At 41.3% G+C, this 13,841-nt stretch overlaps 1 protein-coding gene across 8 annotated transcripts in view, besides 2 other annotated features; it reads right to left on the bottom strand.

Annotated features, from left to right (window-relative positions):
• Nucleotides 1-13,841, bottom strand: part of KIF13B (kinesin family member 13B) — a 196,111-nt gene that overhangs the window by 11,336 nt on the left and 170,934 nt on the right. The window lies entirely within an intron of this gene.
• Nucleotides 1,512-2,075: an enhancer, noted in NCBI's record as "H3K4me1 hESC enhancer chr8:28937642-28938205 (GRCh37/hg19 assembly coordinates)". NCBI's record gives its function as "activates a minimal SCP1, AML or CMV promoter by ChIP-STARR-seq in naive H9 embryonic stem cells {active_cell/tissue: H9 hESC(naive)}" and the evidence as "EXISTENCE:reporter gene assay evidence [ECO:0000049][PMID:30033119]".
• Nucleotides 8,934-9,105: a silencer, noted in NCBI's record as "fragment chr8:28945064-28945235 (GRCh37/hg19 assembly coordinates)". NCBI's record gives its function as "represses an EF-1alpha promoter that drives an FKBP-Casp9 reporter gene in an ReSE screen in HepG2 liver carcinoma cells {active_cell/tissue: HepG2}" and the evidence as "EXISTENCE:reporter gene assay evidence [ECO:0000049][PMID:32094911]".

Consider the following 13,841-nt stretch of genomic DNA (forward strand, 5'->3'; position numbering starts at 1 on the left):
ATCTGGTAACTATTAATAAAAATGACTGTGAAGTATTTTGCAGCTATAAATATTAAGGAGAAGTCCCATGAGGCAAGTGAATATGAGTATAATTATCTACATTTCACACTACAGAAACCGAGGCTCAGAGAGCGTTTACCTAATGGTTAAATGTATTCACATTGCCCTGTAAGTGAGTGACAGAGATGGAAAAGGACTAAGTTCTCAAGTGCTGGCTGAACCTGCAATCACCCTGTCTACTGAGCGTTGCTGAAACTGAACAGATGAGTAGCTTACAGGCAACAGAACGGCTTAGAAATATTCCAGGGAAAAGGTGCCAGTCACTGCTCTCATCATATTGCCCTGTGTTTTAACTCTGGCTTTCACATTCTACATGAACACATGGGAGATGAGGTCAGAATTTTAAAACTTGGAATAAAAGCTGTTTTGGAGACCCCTCTGCCAAGAAGAATAAAATTAACCCCTTGACATGACATATACAATCTCCAAGGGGACACACCTTGCTTTGCTTGCTCTACTAGGCCACTCAGAATTCCCTCAATGGACGGCTTTTCCATTCAGAATTCCCTCAATGGATGGCTTTTCCAGAACCTTCCTCACGCCACTCCGCCCCCGTGGAATCGTGTTCCATCTAGTGAATACCGATTCATTTCTAAGTCTCTGCTCATGCATGATCGAATTCTCCTGCAACTGCAGGGAGCAGCGCCCACCGGCTTCGCTGTGTCATCCGCAGACACTCACACATGACGGTATCTACATCACCCTGCACTGTCTCTTCATCTGCTTTTGTGGCTCTAAACAGGCTTCTCTAAACTTCAGGCTCTTGGAAGGAGACAGACTACAGCTCATTCATCCCTGTATTTCCTTACATAAAACAGTAGCTCAGTGTTTGTTGAATGAACAAATGCATACATTACTTAGCAAGTGACATAAAGAAGACTAAATTGTACAGTTACATAGGAATGTGGGAAAGAACAGACTCTGAAATGTGGGCATCGGGGAGGTAAAGGGGAAAAGAGGTCCCAGTTGAAACAAAAAAATAATCACTTCAGAACTTCCCTAACATTGAATTTTCTGATGCATATTTTTTATTGTTTGAAAATAAATCTTTCATGGCTAACAATCACCCCTTACCCTGAATTTCAGAAATTCTTAAATGTCATTTTTTAATGGTGCTTAAACTAATACAATCCTCTAAGTCTTGTTTTAAACACTAACCAATGATTTAAATCCAAGTATAGAAAATTACTTTTTAGTGGAATATACAAGATATGTAAGATTTATTTTTGTTACAAATAGTTAGTAGCCAATCTTTCATTTTCCTGCTGCTGAAGCGTGAAAAACCTGAGAAACAAAAGGAAGCAGAGCTAAGGCATATAAGGAAACACCTGCTAACCTCCAAAAATGTTCTGATAAAAGTAACATACAATGGATACAAATCAGACACATTGTGCAGTGGCTCTCGCACCTGCAATCCCACCACTTTGGGAGGCTGAGGCAGGAAGATCACTTGAGCCTAGGAGTTCGAGACCAGCCTGGAAAACATGGAAAAACTCCATCTCTACAAAGATTAAATTAGCTGGGCGTGGTGGTGCACACCTATAGTCCGAACTACTTGGGAGCTGAGAATTGCTTGAGCCCAGAAGGTCGAGGCTGCAGTAAGCCATGATCATGCCACTCACTCACCCTGGGTGACAGAGTGAGACCCAGTCTCAAAAAAAAAAAAAAAAAAAAAACCAACCCAAACATTAAGCCTCAGCAATAATCTAATCAATAGAAACACTTTTCTAAGGTTGTCCTGACCAGGGGCCTGGAAGAGAGGAAAACGAAGAGTTCCGGGAGGCGGGCGGGGAGAACGTGTCCAGCCCTGGCCTGAAGCCTGTGAACCAGCCTCCGGCATGTGAGGCCTTCAGTGACCACCCTGTGCGCCTGGAGGCTCCAGACCCTGACAGGGTGATGTGGATAGAATATGTGAGCCATAACGGCACCAGCACTTTTGTCCATCTGGCAGGTATAGTTATTTTAAATGCATGGCTTGGCATTCTAACTTTTGTGTAAAAACCTGATCACCTCTGGGCTTCCACACCTATCTGCAAGGGGATGATCCCATCTACATGAGTTCTCTAAGCGGTGTCACCAGGGAAGCGGACTGGTGGCTGCCGACCCCCGCCCGAGCCACTGTGCCCCTGCCTGCCACATGCCCCTCCAAGCAGTGCCTCGAAGGACTCAACACCAGAAGGCAACCATGGGTTTCTGACCCACATGATAATCCCTGCTGAGGATTCTACCCGCACTCGAATAGCGTCTTCTAACTCCATTCTCTTCAAATCCACTTTCCAAACTACAGCTGGAGGGAGCTTTCCGAAAAACAAAAGTGACCATGTCCCATGTCGCTCGCCACCTTGCAGCTGCCAGGGTTTCCCACTGCAGCAGACAGGGAAACGCTGGCAGGTCCTGCATGGTGTATTTCTGCGGCTCGATCCGTCCCTCCTGCAAACGCTCTACTGATTGATTCATTCCACAAATACAATGACTTGGTTACTCTTAATCACTGTCAGTGAAATCTCTTACAGTCACACGTGAGCATTTAACCGTGCTTTCTCAACGGAAAGCTCAGTTCTGCCACTCCTGAGGCTCTGTAACCTGAGACAGGTGTGCACCCTCCCCATTTCCCCAACAGGGCAGCAGCCCTGACATGGCAGCCACCAGCCACTGGTGGTGACCCAGCACTGAGAATGAGGCTAATGTGACTCAGAAAGTCCATTTTTTATTTTAATTAATAAAGCATAACCTTAAACACTGAAATGCTTTTAAGTATGTTTAGAACAGCCTCGGCATGTGGGTCTGCTTTTTCAACCATAAATTTTATGAATTCTAAATGCAGATCAAGTATTTCCGACGGAACTTTAGTGTCTGAATTGCAATGTGCTAGAAATGTAAAATACACACCTGATTTCAAGGACTTTGTACAGAAAGAAGGATGGGAATATCTCAACCTTTTTTTATACTACAGTTGATATGACAGTATTTTCAATACACTAGGTTAAACAAATGTTATTAAAATTAATCTGACCTGTATTCTTTTTACTTCCTTAAACGTGGCTACTAGGAAATTGTAACTTGCATACATGGCTCGCATTATGTATCTATTGCATGGTGCTTGTCTAACTCAGTCGTGTTGTTGAGATGGCACATTAAAATTCCTGGTGTGGTGCCAGGTATGCTGGAAGCTCTCGACACATTTGTAAAGTACTTCATTGGAATTTTGTGTCTGGTCTTCCTGGATATTTCTAAGTTGGCTTACTAAAAGTACATGTTTAAACAGTCAATAATTTCATCTGATCTAGAAATCACAAGTTTCAAATTAACTGAATCAGTCCCAAAGTCATTCCAAGATGAATTCCACTTTCTTTCAAACAAAGAACCTAAGATTTCATTTATTTACTCATTCGCAAATATGTACCAGGTACCTACTACATTCTAAAGACTGTGGTAGGCACTGGGGGTGCAGTGTGAGCAAAACTAGTCCCTGTGCTCCTCAAAACTAGGCACTCAAGGTCTAACATTTATATTCCTATTTAATTTCAGTTACACAAAACAATTAAAAGGCCTATTTTTCCTATCAACAAGTAAATTATTTTATCACTGCCTATAAGTGAATGACACCATTCACATGGTCTATAAGACATTAGATATGTATTATAGTCTAACTTATTCTAAGTACTATATAAATAAAATCTTAAATACTAGTATTTCCAGAGTTACTGGAAAAGATATCGCTTCTGATTTTTAGTATCTAGCCAGTTTACTTTACAAACTTCCACATAACAGCCTGGGCAACATACCAAGGCCTCATTTTTACAAAAAAAAAGTTTTTAATTAGCCAGGCATGGTAGCACACTCCTGTGGTCCCAGCTACTCGAGAGGCTGAGACAGGAGGACTTGCGCCCAGGAGTTCGAAGCTGCAGTGAGCTATGATCACATCACTGCACTCCAGCCTGGGCAACAGAGCAAGACCTTGTCAGAAAAAATAAATTAAAAAAAAATAAAACTTCTACATAATACTTAAAACTGATTTAAGCGTTCATATAAGAAAATTCTACACATATATTTTAAAAGATAGAATGCTCACTTCATCCAAAAAGAGTTACTAGTTTTTCAAGTGTCCATGAAGGATTAAGGATGCTTAAAGAATGTTTGCTAATCTGAAAACTTTAAAAATAGGGTCTTGTTGGGCAGAGTGGTTCACACACATAATCCCAGCACTTCCGGAGGCTGAGGCAGGAGGATTGCTTGAGCACAGCAATTCAAGACCAGCCGGTGTGACATAGGGAGACCCCGTCTCTACAAGATCAAAATTTAAAAATTAGCCAGCCATGGCGGTGTACACCTGTAGTCTCAGCTACTTGGGAGGCTGAGATGGGAGAATCACTTGAGCCCAGGAGGTCAAAGCTGCAATGAGCCATGATCACACCACTGCACTCCAGCCTGGGCAACAGAGCAAGACCCTGTCTAAAAAAAAAAGCCTTCATCCAGCTTGTCGCCAGCTTAATATGCGCTAAGAAATAAGAAATGGCTTTTACATTCTTAATGACTGAAACAAATCAAAAGAATATTTCATAACATAAAAATTATGTAAAATTCAAATTTCAGGTTATCAAGTTTTACTGGAACACAGCCAGACTCATTTGTTTAATACTGTCTATAGCTAGTTTTGACAGAGACCACATGGCATGCAAATCCTAAAATATTTACAATCTGTTCCTTTATAAAATAAAGTATGGCAACACTCGGTCTAGAGAATAAAATGAACCCCATTCCTAAAAAATTGCTAGCAGATGCACCTCTTCAATCGACTTCTTTACTGCCTCAGAAATCCTCTTACTTGCTGAAGGGAATTTTAGTTACATTTCATTATTTTTCAGATCAGCTACTAAACCTGATTGTGAAGACAACTCTGACATCTCTAAGTATGTCCACTATATTACCTACAAATTTATGGGGCAAGGCTAGACAGCAAAATGCTGTGATTCTGGAAAACTAAAAGAGTGATAAGAGTCTTTTAACAATGACAGGAGTGCCTAAAAACTCCTCCCTAAACTGAACAGAAATCAGTTGCCCTGAATTTTTTTTTAAAAACTCTTTGTTAACTCCAGAACAAGTGAAATACAGCACACTATATCTATAGCTGTTTAAGATGGGTGGTATTAAACTACAGAGAAAATGCTCATATATGTTATTTTTTAAATAACCTGAAAGTTTAAGAAAAATGAAGGCTGGGAACAAGGCCTAGATGTGTTTTTTGTTTGTTTGTTTTTTAAGACGGAGTTGCGCTCTGTCACCCAGGCTGGAGTGTGGTGGTTCAATCTCGGCTCACTGCAACCTCCGCCTCCAGGGTTCAAGCGATTCCCCTGCCTCACCCTCCCCAGTGGCTGGGATTACAGGCGCCCACCACCACGCCCAGCTAATTTTTGTATTTCTTTCAGTAGAGATGGGGTTTCACTGCGATGGCCAGGCTGGTCTCAAACTCCTGACGTCATGATCCGCCCACCTCGGCCTCCCAAAGTGCTGGGATTACAAGCGTGAGCCACCGCACCCGACCGTGTTTTCTTCTTTTAGTTAGGATGTTGAACCTTTACTTGAGACACAAGGATACGTGTTTATATAATTCATTTAATCAAAGAAGTATGTTAGCTCAAAACATCATCCTTGTGTACAAGGCAAGAATTAGTATTTGTGCTTGTTTCTCCCTGTTTTATATAAGGAAGAATCACAGTAATGGAAGATGGATAATTATACAGACACCTTTTCAATTAGCATCAGAGATGGGCAGAGGGGTGCTCTTTCTACACAAGCCTTTATCTACCTACCACACGTGAGGCTATGTTGAAATAGGAGAAAAATATCCCTGCTGTTGATAAGGCAGCCCTAACCAAAAGGGACAGACACATAAATCAAGACAGGCCGGCATTGTGACTGTGCTTTTGATAGTGGAAATTAAATCTGACCATTAACCCTTTAATTCTCCAGATTCATCAAAGACGCCATTTACAGTTCCTAACTTTGAAGTACATAAATAGCTTCATCTGAACACAAACTTCTAGATACATGAAAAAAAGCTATTATGCCAAATTAATTCAATCTAACTAATTAGAGAGCAGGAAGTTCCTTCAATTATTTTATGTGCTGTCTGAGAAACACACTTGAATATGAGTACAGATTTCATTAATTGCAGTTCATTATTTTCCAGATTAGTTACTAAACTTGCATCAGAAGGTCAAAGACAGCAATTTTGTCAGCTGCCACCTCTTTCAGTGCAGTATTTTTGCATTTCTGGAACTCAGACAGAAATTGACTACAAACAAAAACAAATCTCCATAAAAATGAGAAACATAAGTCCTTATGAATATGTTCAAACCAAAAGATCTTGTAAATTATACGAATATCTTTGTTTTTAAACTTTCTGAATAAACTATTGACTTTTGTCTTACAAAAAAAGATCCAGGAACCTTTCCGTTTCCATTTGATAAACAATATTAAGAAAAAGTAACAAGAAAATAATAACATCTTCACCTGAGAACCTGCTGATTCCAAAGAACAGGTTAATAAGCATCCAGGTTTTCATTAAAGCTTCTCTGCAGTTATGGGTCTGTGTATCTTTGCATGAGGGAGGGAACTGAACATTCTTGTCTGAAAATGTGAAGGACACTCTAATGAAAAGTATTTTTTGATAATAATCATTCCTTCACTACACAACTTGTGTACCTCTTTTCCACTTAACATAACAAAATATAAGGAATGACTGGTAAAAACAGGACCCATTCTATTCCTCAGTCCTTACCTGGATTATTTTATATCCTCATAAACTTTCTGTTTTTATTTTATTTTTGAGACAGGTGTGTGTCACCACACCCACATATTTTTTTTTTTAATTTTTAGTAGAGACAGGGGTCTTGTTATGTTGCCCAGGCTGGTCTCGAACTCCTGAGCTCAAGTGATCTGCCTGCCTTGGCCTCCCAAAGTGCTGAGATAAAGGTGTGAGCCACAGCACCCAGTCTAACTTCCTGTTTTTAAGTAACAGAAATACTCTTCTTTTTTTTTTTTTTTTTTTTTTTTTTTTTTAAAGGGAGCCAGGCTGGGATGGGAGGATCCCTTGAGCCCAAGAGGTTGAGGCCACAGTGTGCTGTGATAGCACCATTGCACTCCAGCCTGGGTGACAGAACAAGAGCCCGTAACAAAAAAAAAAAAAAAAAAAAAAAGAGTACCTTGCTATCTATAAACCATTTTCCCACTGTCAGCTGTCACCATTCTCTCTGTTAATTTCATTTCTATGGCCCTAGGACCCTCCACTGCTTTAGCAAAACCATCCCTAACAATCCTTCCCCTCCTTGGTGCTGGTATCCCTTGAATGCTTATATAGTCAGCTCTCTTAGTCATTGTTTGGTGAAGCCATAAATAACTCCTTTAATCCTTCCTCATAAATCATTTTTGATGTTATTCTCTGAAACAATTCCAACTGGTCACTGCATTTCTAGTAGTAATAAATCCAGAACCAAGTACAGTAATCTAAGTGTCATCTAATAATATCAAAGAGAGCCCAGGGTGGGGGCTGGGGTTTTGTTTAGATAGGATAGTGTGAGTTTCTGCATTATTACAACTGTTCAGAGAAGTTTTAAGTCTCCAAGCTAAACTGGAATAAAAACATATGTGGGTGACTAAGCCGGAGGATTACTTGAGGCCAGGAGTTTGAGACCTGTCTCAACCAGGCATCATCTCACATACCTTTAGTCCCAGCTACTTGGGAGGCTGAGGTTAGAGGATCACCTGAGCCAAGGAGTTCAAGGCGGCAGTAAGCGATCATTGCACCACTGCACTCCAGCCTGAGTGATAAGCAAGACCTGGTCTCAAATAATAAAATAAAATAAAAAAGCAGTTTGTCTCTTTCATGACAGGTGGGAAATGGGAGACAAACGGTTTCAGGAAGTGTGTTATTAAACATGACTTGCTTGGTTTCCATGTCGATCCCCAAACCATTCGGGGTGTTTTGTTTTTGTGCTGTTTCACATTATAACCCTTAAGCGATGTTGACTATCTAAGTCTTTAAGCCATATTAGTATCACTATTTCCCCCTTCCTATATTGTACTATTGATCCAGATTCCTTTTAGGCATATGAATGGGCCTGTATTTTTCTGGACTTTATCTTGATGTTATCTAAACATTTAAATATCTGATACTGCTTATTTTACAATCATTTAATGGTCAAAGACTATTGAAATTGGTGCACTAACAGGCACTAGTAAATAAAAATAAAGCACAAGACTCAAAACAGAGAGGAAAGTTCCGGGTACTTGTGTATTTCTTTAAGGTGCTGCTAAGTCCAGCACTGGATGCCTCACGCAGAGCCGTAGCCACGCCAGTGTGTGCGCAGGGCAGTCCAGCCACCGTCATCAACATCCACTCTGCTTCAGGCTTACTTGATTGGTGACACAGAGGATGGCCCTGGCTGCAGGGCGACTTTATTTCCATAATGTATATAACACAGTCTCCCACAAACTCTTTGGTAGAAAGAGGGAGAAGTGTGGAGTGGAGAAGGTAGTTACCTGCTACCTGGAAATGAAATGTGTTGGTCTGTCACTCTGCGGCTTGACAAGTGATGTCTACTTCCAGGTACAGAGCCCTGCCTTAGGCCTTATTATGTTCAATATTTCAATAGTCTCAAACGCAGAGAGATTACAGCTTTAGAAGTGTGTGGACAGCCAGAATGTATGCATTATTTAAAAAATTACTCAGAAAGATCTTGATATCCTGGGAATGTTAAAACAACATCAAAGATAAAAAATTCTAGGAATGAATCTGAAGTTCCTCATTATTTTCACACATCAATTAGACCACATAATAAAAGAGAAGTAGTACAGTGACAAGAGTATCAACAGACAAAAAACCTGGTGATGTTACCTGACCAACAGCACAATGAGCTAACACCTTTCAAAAGCAAGCCCACCCAAGCGCAGTTCCACGCTGCGTCGGTAGAGGCCACCATTTAGACGAGAAAGGAAACACTGCCAGCATTTGCAAGCCCAGGGGGAACTCTTCTCATTTCTGGACTCCTCACTTTAGGAAGCACCCTGGCGAGACAACTGTAGAATGACGAAGCGTTTCCCAGATGAGATGTGGGAGACTCATCTAGAGCTGTTAAGATGGGGGAGGTCTGAGAGAACAAAAATTCTAAGAGAGCTATCATCACGCCACTGCACTCCAGCCTGGGCAACAGAGCGAGACCTTGTCACAAAAAATAAATTAAAAAAAAAAACTTCTACATAATAGTAAACTTATTCAAATATGTATATAAGAAGATTATACATATATATTTTGGCTGGGCGCAGTGGTTCACGCCTGTAATCCCAGCACTTTGGGAGGCTGACGCAGGCGGATCACGACATCAAGAGATCGAGACCATCCTGGCCAACATGGTGAAACTCTGTCTGTACTAAAAATACAAAAATTTGCGGGGCATGGTGGCGGGCGCCTGTAATCCCAGCTACTCGGGAAGCTGAGGCAGGAGAATCACTTGAACCTGAGAAGCAGAGGTTGCAGTGAGCTGAGATCGCACCACTGTACTCCAGCCTGGGCGACAGAGGGAGACTCCATCTTAAAAAAAAAAATTATATATTTTAAAGGCTGTAATACTCACTTCATCCAAAATGATGGTTATTCTTTTTTCAAGTGCCCATGAAGGATTAAAGATGCTTACTTAAAGAATATCTGCTAATCTAAACACCTTAAAAATAGGGTCTTGCTGGGCAGGGTGGCTCACATATACAATCCTCCCCACTCCCTTTACTTCCTGGTAAGAACAAACTCTGAGGCAAAGACTGGTTGATTATCTTGTTCCTGTAGAACCCCCAGGAGGGGGAGTAGAGATTGTTTTAGAAGTCCAAACTTCACATTCTAGTGAAGTTTGTGAAAATTGTGAAAATCACAAATCTGATTTTCAAGTGCATGGAACTCCATTATAACAAAGATTACTATTTTAAAAAAATGAGGAACACTAAAGGAGTCTAGCCAATACAGCATTTTTCTTCTTCCTGTTATTTGCAATTCCACAGGCACTAAAAATGCCCTTTTTCAGAGAAGAAACACACTTCAGAGTACAACAAGTGAAAGCATAAAGCATATTCAAAGCATATTTAAAGTATGCTTCACTTGTTGTACCCTGAAGTGTGACCCAAGTAAGAAAAAGTTTTCTTGACATTATCATCTATAATTCTAATTTATTTCTCACAGAGCTTTAGTAGAGATGGTCAGTGAAAATGAGACAACCAAGAGCGTCTCTGATCAACTAAATCCAAAATGAAAAGCTAAGATTTCTCTCTCCTTTGGAAATGTTCTTTAGCACTTCCACCAACCTAGGAAAAGAAGGTTCTTAAATATGTCTTCATCCCTCTAATCCCCACTCAGCCATGCTTCTTTCACCTCTAAGCTGTAAACACAGTCCTGTCTACCACTGAGTAGCACTTGGGACCCACAATCTAATATTACAGTCTGGGCATGGTGGCTCACGCCTATAATCCCAGCCACTTGGGATACCAGACGGGAGGACTTGAGCCCAGGAGTTCAAGACCAACCTGGGCAACACAGCGAGACTCTGTCTCTAAAAATAAAAATATTTAAAAAGTTAGCTGGGCGTGATGGAGCGCACTTGTAGTCCTAGCTCCTTGGGAGACTGAGGGTGGAGGATTCCCTGAGCCCAGGAGTTCAACGCTGCAGTGAGCTATCATCGCACCACTGCACTCCAGACTGGGCGACATACCAAGACCCTGTCTCTAAAATAATATTATTATAATCTGTTCACATGTCAAACAATAGACATTTTGCATCTTCTATGTACCAGGCACCATTCTGGCACAACAAGCCTTGCCCTCAGGGAATATTGTGGAGAGGGATAATTGATAAACATATAAACCAAACAATAACTCCCGATAAAAAGGTCAGAAATGGGCCAGGTGTGGTGGCTCAAGCCTATAATCCCAGCACTTTGGGAGGCTGAGGCGGGTAGATCATTTGAGGTTAGGAGTTCGAGACCAGCCTTGCCAACATGGTGAAACCCCGTCTCTACTAAAAATACAAAAATCAGCCAAGCGTGGTGGCAGGTGCCTGTAATCCCAGCTACTCAGGAGGAGGAGGCAGAAGAATCCCTTGAACCCAGGAAGTGGAGGTTGCAGTGAGCCAAGATTGCACTCCAGCCTGGGCAACAGAGCAAGACTCTGTCTCAAAAAAAAAAAAAAAAAAGAAAGAAATGGTAATGTAGTGCCTGCATGTATGGTGGAAGCTGTTCTGGTGTGGCTGTTCAACAAAGCCCACTCTAGACTCAGACGTCCTTCCTCAGAGTGGCCTTTCCTGAATGTTCTACGGGAGGCCTTTGGGAAGAGCAGCCTGGGTGGGTGGCAGGGCCAGCGCCAGAGCTCTTAGACTGAAGGCGCTTCACATGCTTATAGGCTAAAAAGGCAGCTTATCTGGCTTAGTACTGGTGAGCGAATAAAGAAGAACGAAGATTCAAGGCCGGGGTACAGGCACTGCAGGGCACTGTGAGCCACAGTGAGAAATTCACATTTCACTCCTTTCAGTGGGAGACACTGGAAGGTGTCACACCACTGACGACTGTGAGGCTGTGAAAGATCATTCTGGCTACTCTGTTTAAACAGCTAAAGCCACGGAACTCAATGAGATTTATGCATGGAAGGAAACAGGTTTAAAAACAAAAAAGAACACCCCCGTTGGAGCTCTGGGCACTGGATGTAAAGACTTGATGGAATCTACAGTCCCAGGAGTGGATCGCGGACCGAGGGAAGGGAAGTCAGGCGAAGGAAGTTGCACTGAAGCCTGGAGATGTAAGTGTTTCCAGCATTATGTTGACGCCAAGTCTGCAGGATGAGGACAAGGCGGTGTGGGCAAGGGGGAGCTCCCTGGCCACCCTGAGAAAAGGGAAATGCCTTCCAAGGAGCAGAGTTCTCACAAACCAACTGGAATGTTCTGGCTTTACTACCAGGTATCTTCATCAAGACCAGTTTTAGATTTATATACTTTATGTATTTTTATTTTTATTTATTTACTTTGAGACAGAGTCTCACTCTGTCACCCAGGCTGGAATGCAGTGGCATGATCTTGGCTCACTGCAACCTCTGCCTCCCGCGTTCAAGCGATTCTCATGCCTCATAGCCTCATTCTAATTCTCATAGCCTCCTGTGTAGCTATGACTACAGGAGCACGCCTGGCTAATTTTTGTAGTAAAGACAGGGTTTCGCCATGTTGGCCAGGCTGGTCTCAAATTCCTGACCTCAGGTGAGCCACCTGCCTTGGCCTCCCTGAGGGCTGGGGTTATAGGTGTGAGCCACTGCACTCGGCCATATATTTTATATTTTTATGAAATACAAAATATTTGTATGAGGCCAGTTTTCCCAAACCTTTGCTCATATGTGCTCAAACAATAAATGAACAGACTGGAGTAAATGAATAAAAATTGCTTATGAAATCTTCTATATATTTCAAGGTAACCTCTAACCTGGGCATTATAGTTATTCTCCAATCACTACATTTGTTTCTAACACACTGTTGTTCCTCTCACTTCCAGAGAGAGCTAATCACTCGTTGCCAAAACAGTAAGAGCATAAGTAAGTTCTACAGGTAGCAGGTGATGTGACTTGCTACATGGAAAACTGAAAATAGCTTTAAAGGAGAATAGTAATGATGGCAGGCTGACTCCGTGACTTCCAACGTGATTCCAATTTCCTTCAACCTACATGACTCCGCCTTCACCAAACAGCAACTGAAAACACTGGATAGCAGACTTCACTGAATAAAAATAAGAATCACCACAGACAGGCACTTATAAATGCAGATTACAAGGTCTCTCCAAGTTAGCTATGGGTTCCCAGCGCAGGCTGAGAAACTATTTTTTAAAACAGCTCCTAAATCTGACAGTTCATGAATCACACTTTGTGAAACAATGATGCAGAAGTTTAGAACTGAATAACGTACAAAATAATGACCCACTGGTTCAGTTCTGGTGGATCTCTGGGGAAAAAAAGCACTGGGAAAAATAATCACTGCCTACCTCGGTCCCCACAGGACTTGGCTCCTGCAGTCATAGATTCATTTCAGTAACTCTCAAGCCCCACCATGTGTCTAAATACAATTTAAACAGCTGTAAAATCTTGGTTTTAATTGTTTCATCTACTGTATGTGTATGCTTATTTATATGCTTATATAAAGCTAGATTTTTAAAAATTACATATCTGCATGGCAGCCTGATAAAACTAATTCCTTCTCCCCTGAATATGCATTCATACACTTAGAAAATTCTTTAGTTAAGTCTCAGACGATTCACCTGGATTACTGCAACTTGAATGTTTAGAAGAACGTGAAGAAGCTGATGTCAAAAGACCTATTTGGACAACAGAACTTGCCCTGTATGTGTTTTTGAATGAGTATAAATAAATCCTCATTTATCATTTTCTGCTGAGTTAACACCTATATAACGCTGGAAATTGCATTTCCAATGGGGTTCCCATTCACTATTGCATAAGAGCAGCTTCCTGATTGTTTGGAAAACCTTTTCGCATTTGCTCTAACACTTACCCTAGAGCTGGGTAAAGAGTTTTAAGAGAAAAGGATATAAGACAGGTGATCACTTTTCAGTGAAAGAACAGGTTATCCACAGCAGAGAAAACAGAGGTTGAGAGGGAAGGGCACTCATGATATAAAATTGTTTGAAAAAACAAATGAAATCAAAAAATAAAAATAGAATTACATTTTCTACTTGGCAATACACAAACAATGCTAA

This window comes from Homo sapiens, chromosome 8 (assembly GCF_000001405.40).
Source record: "Homo sapiens chromosome 8, GRCh38.p14 Primary Assembly".
Classification (NCBI taxonomy): domain Eukaryota; kingdom Metazoa; phylum Chordata; class Mammalia; order Primates; family Hominidae; genus Homo; species Homo sapiens.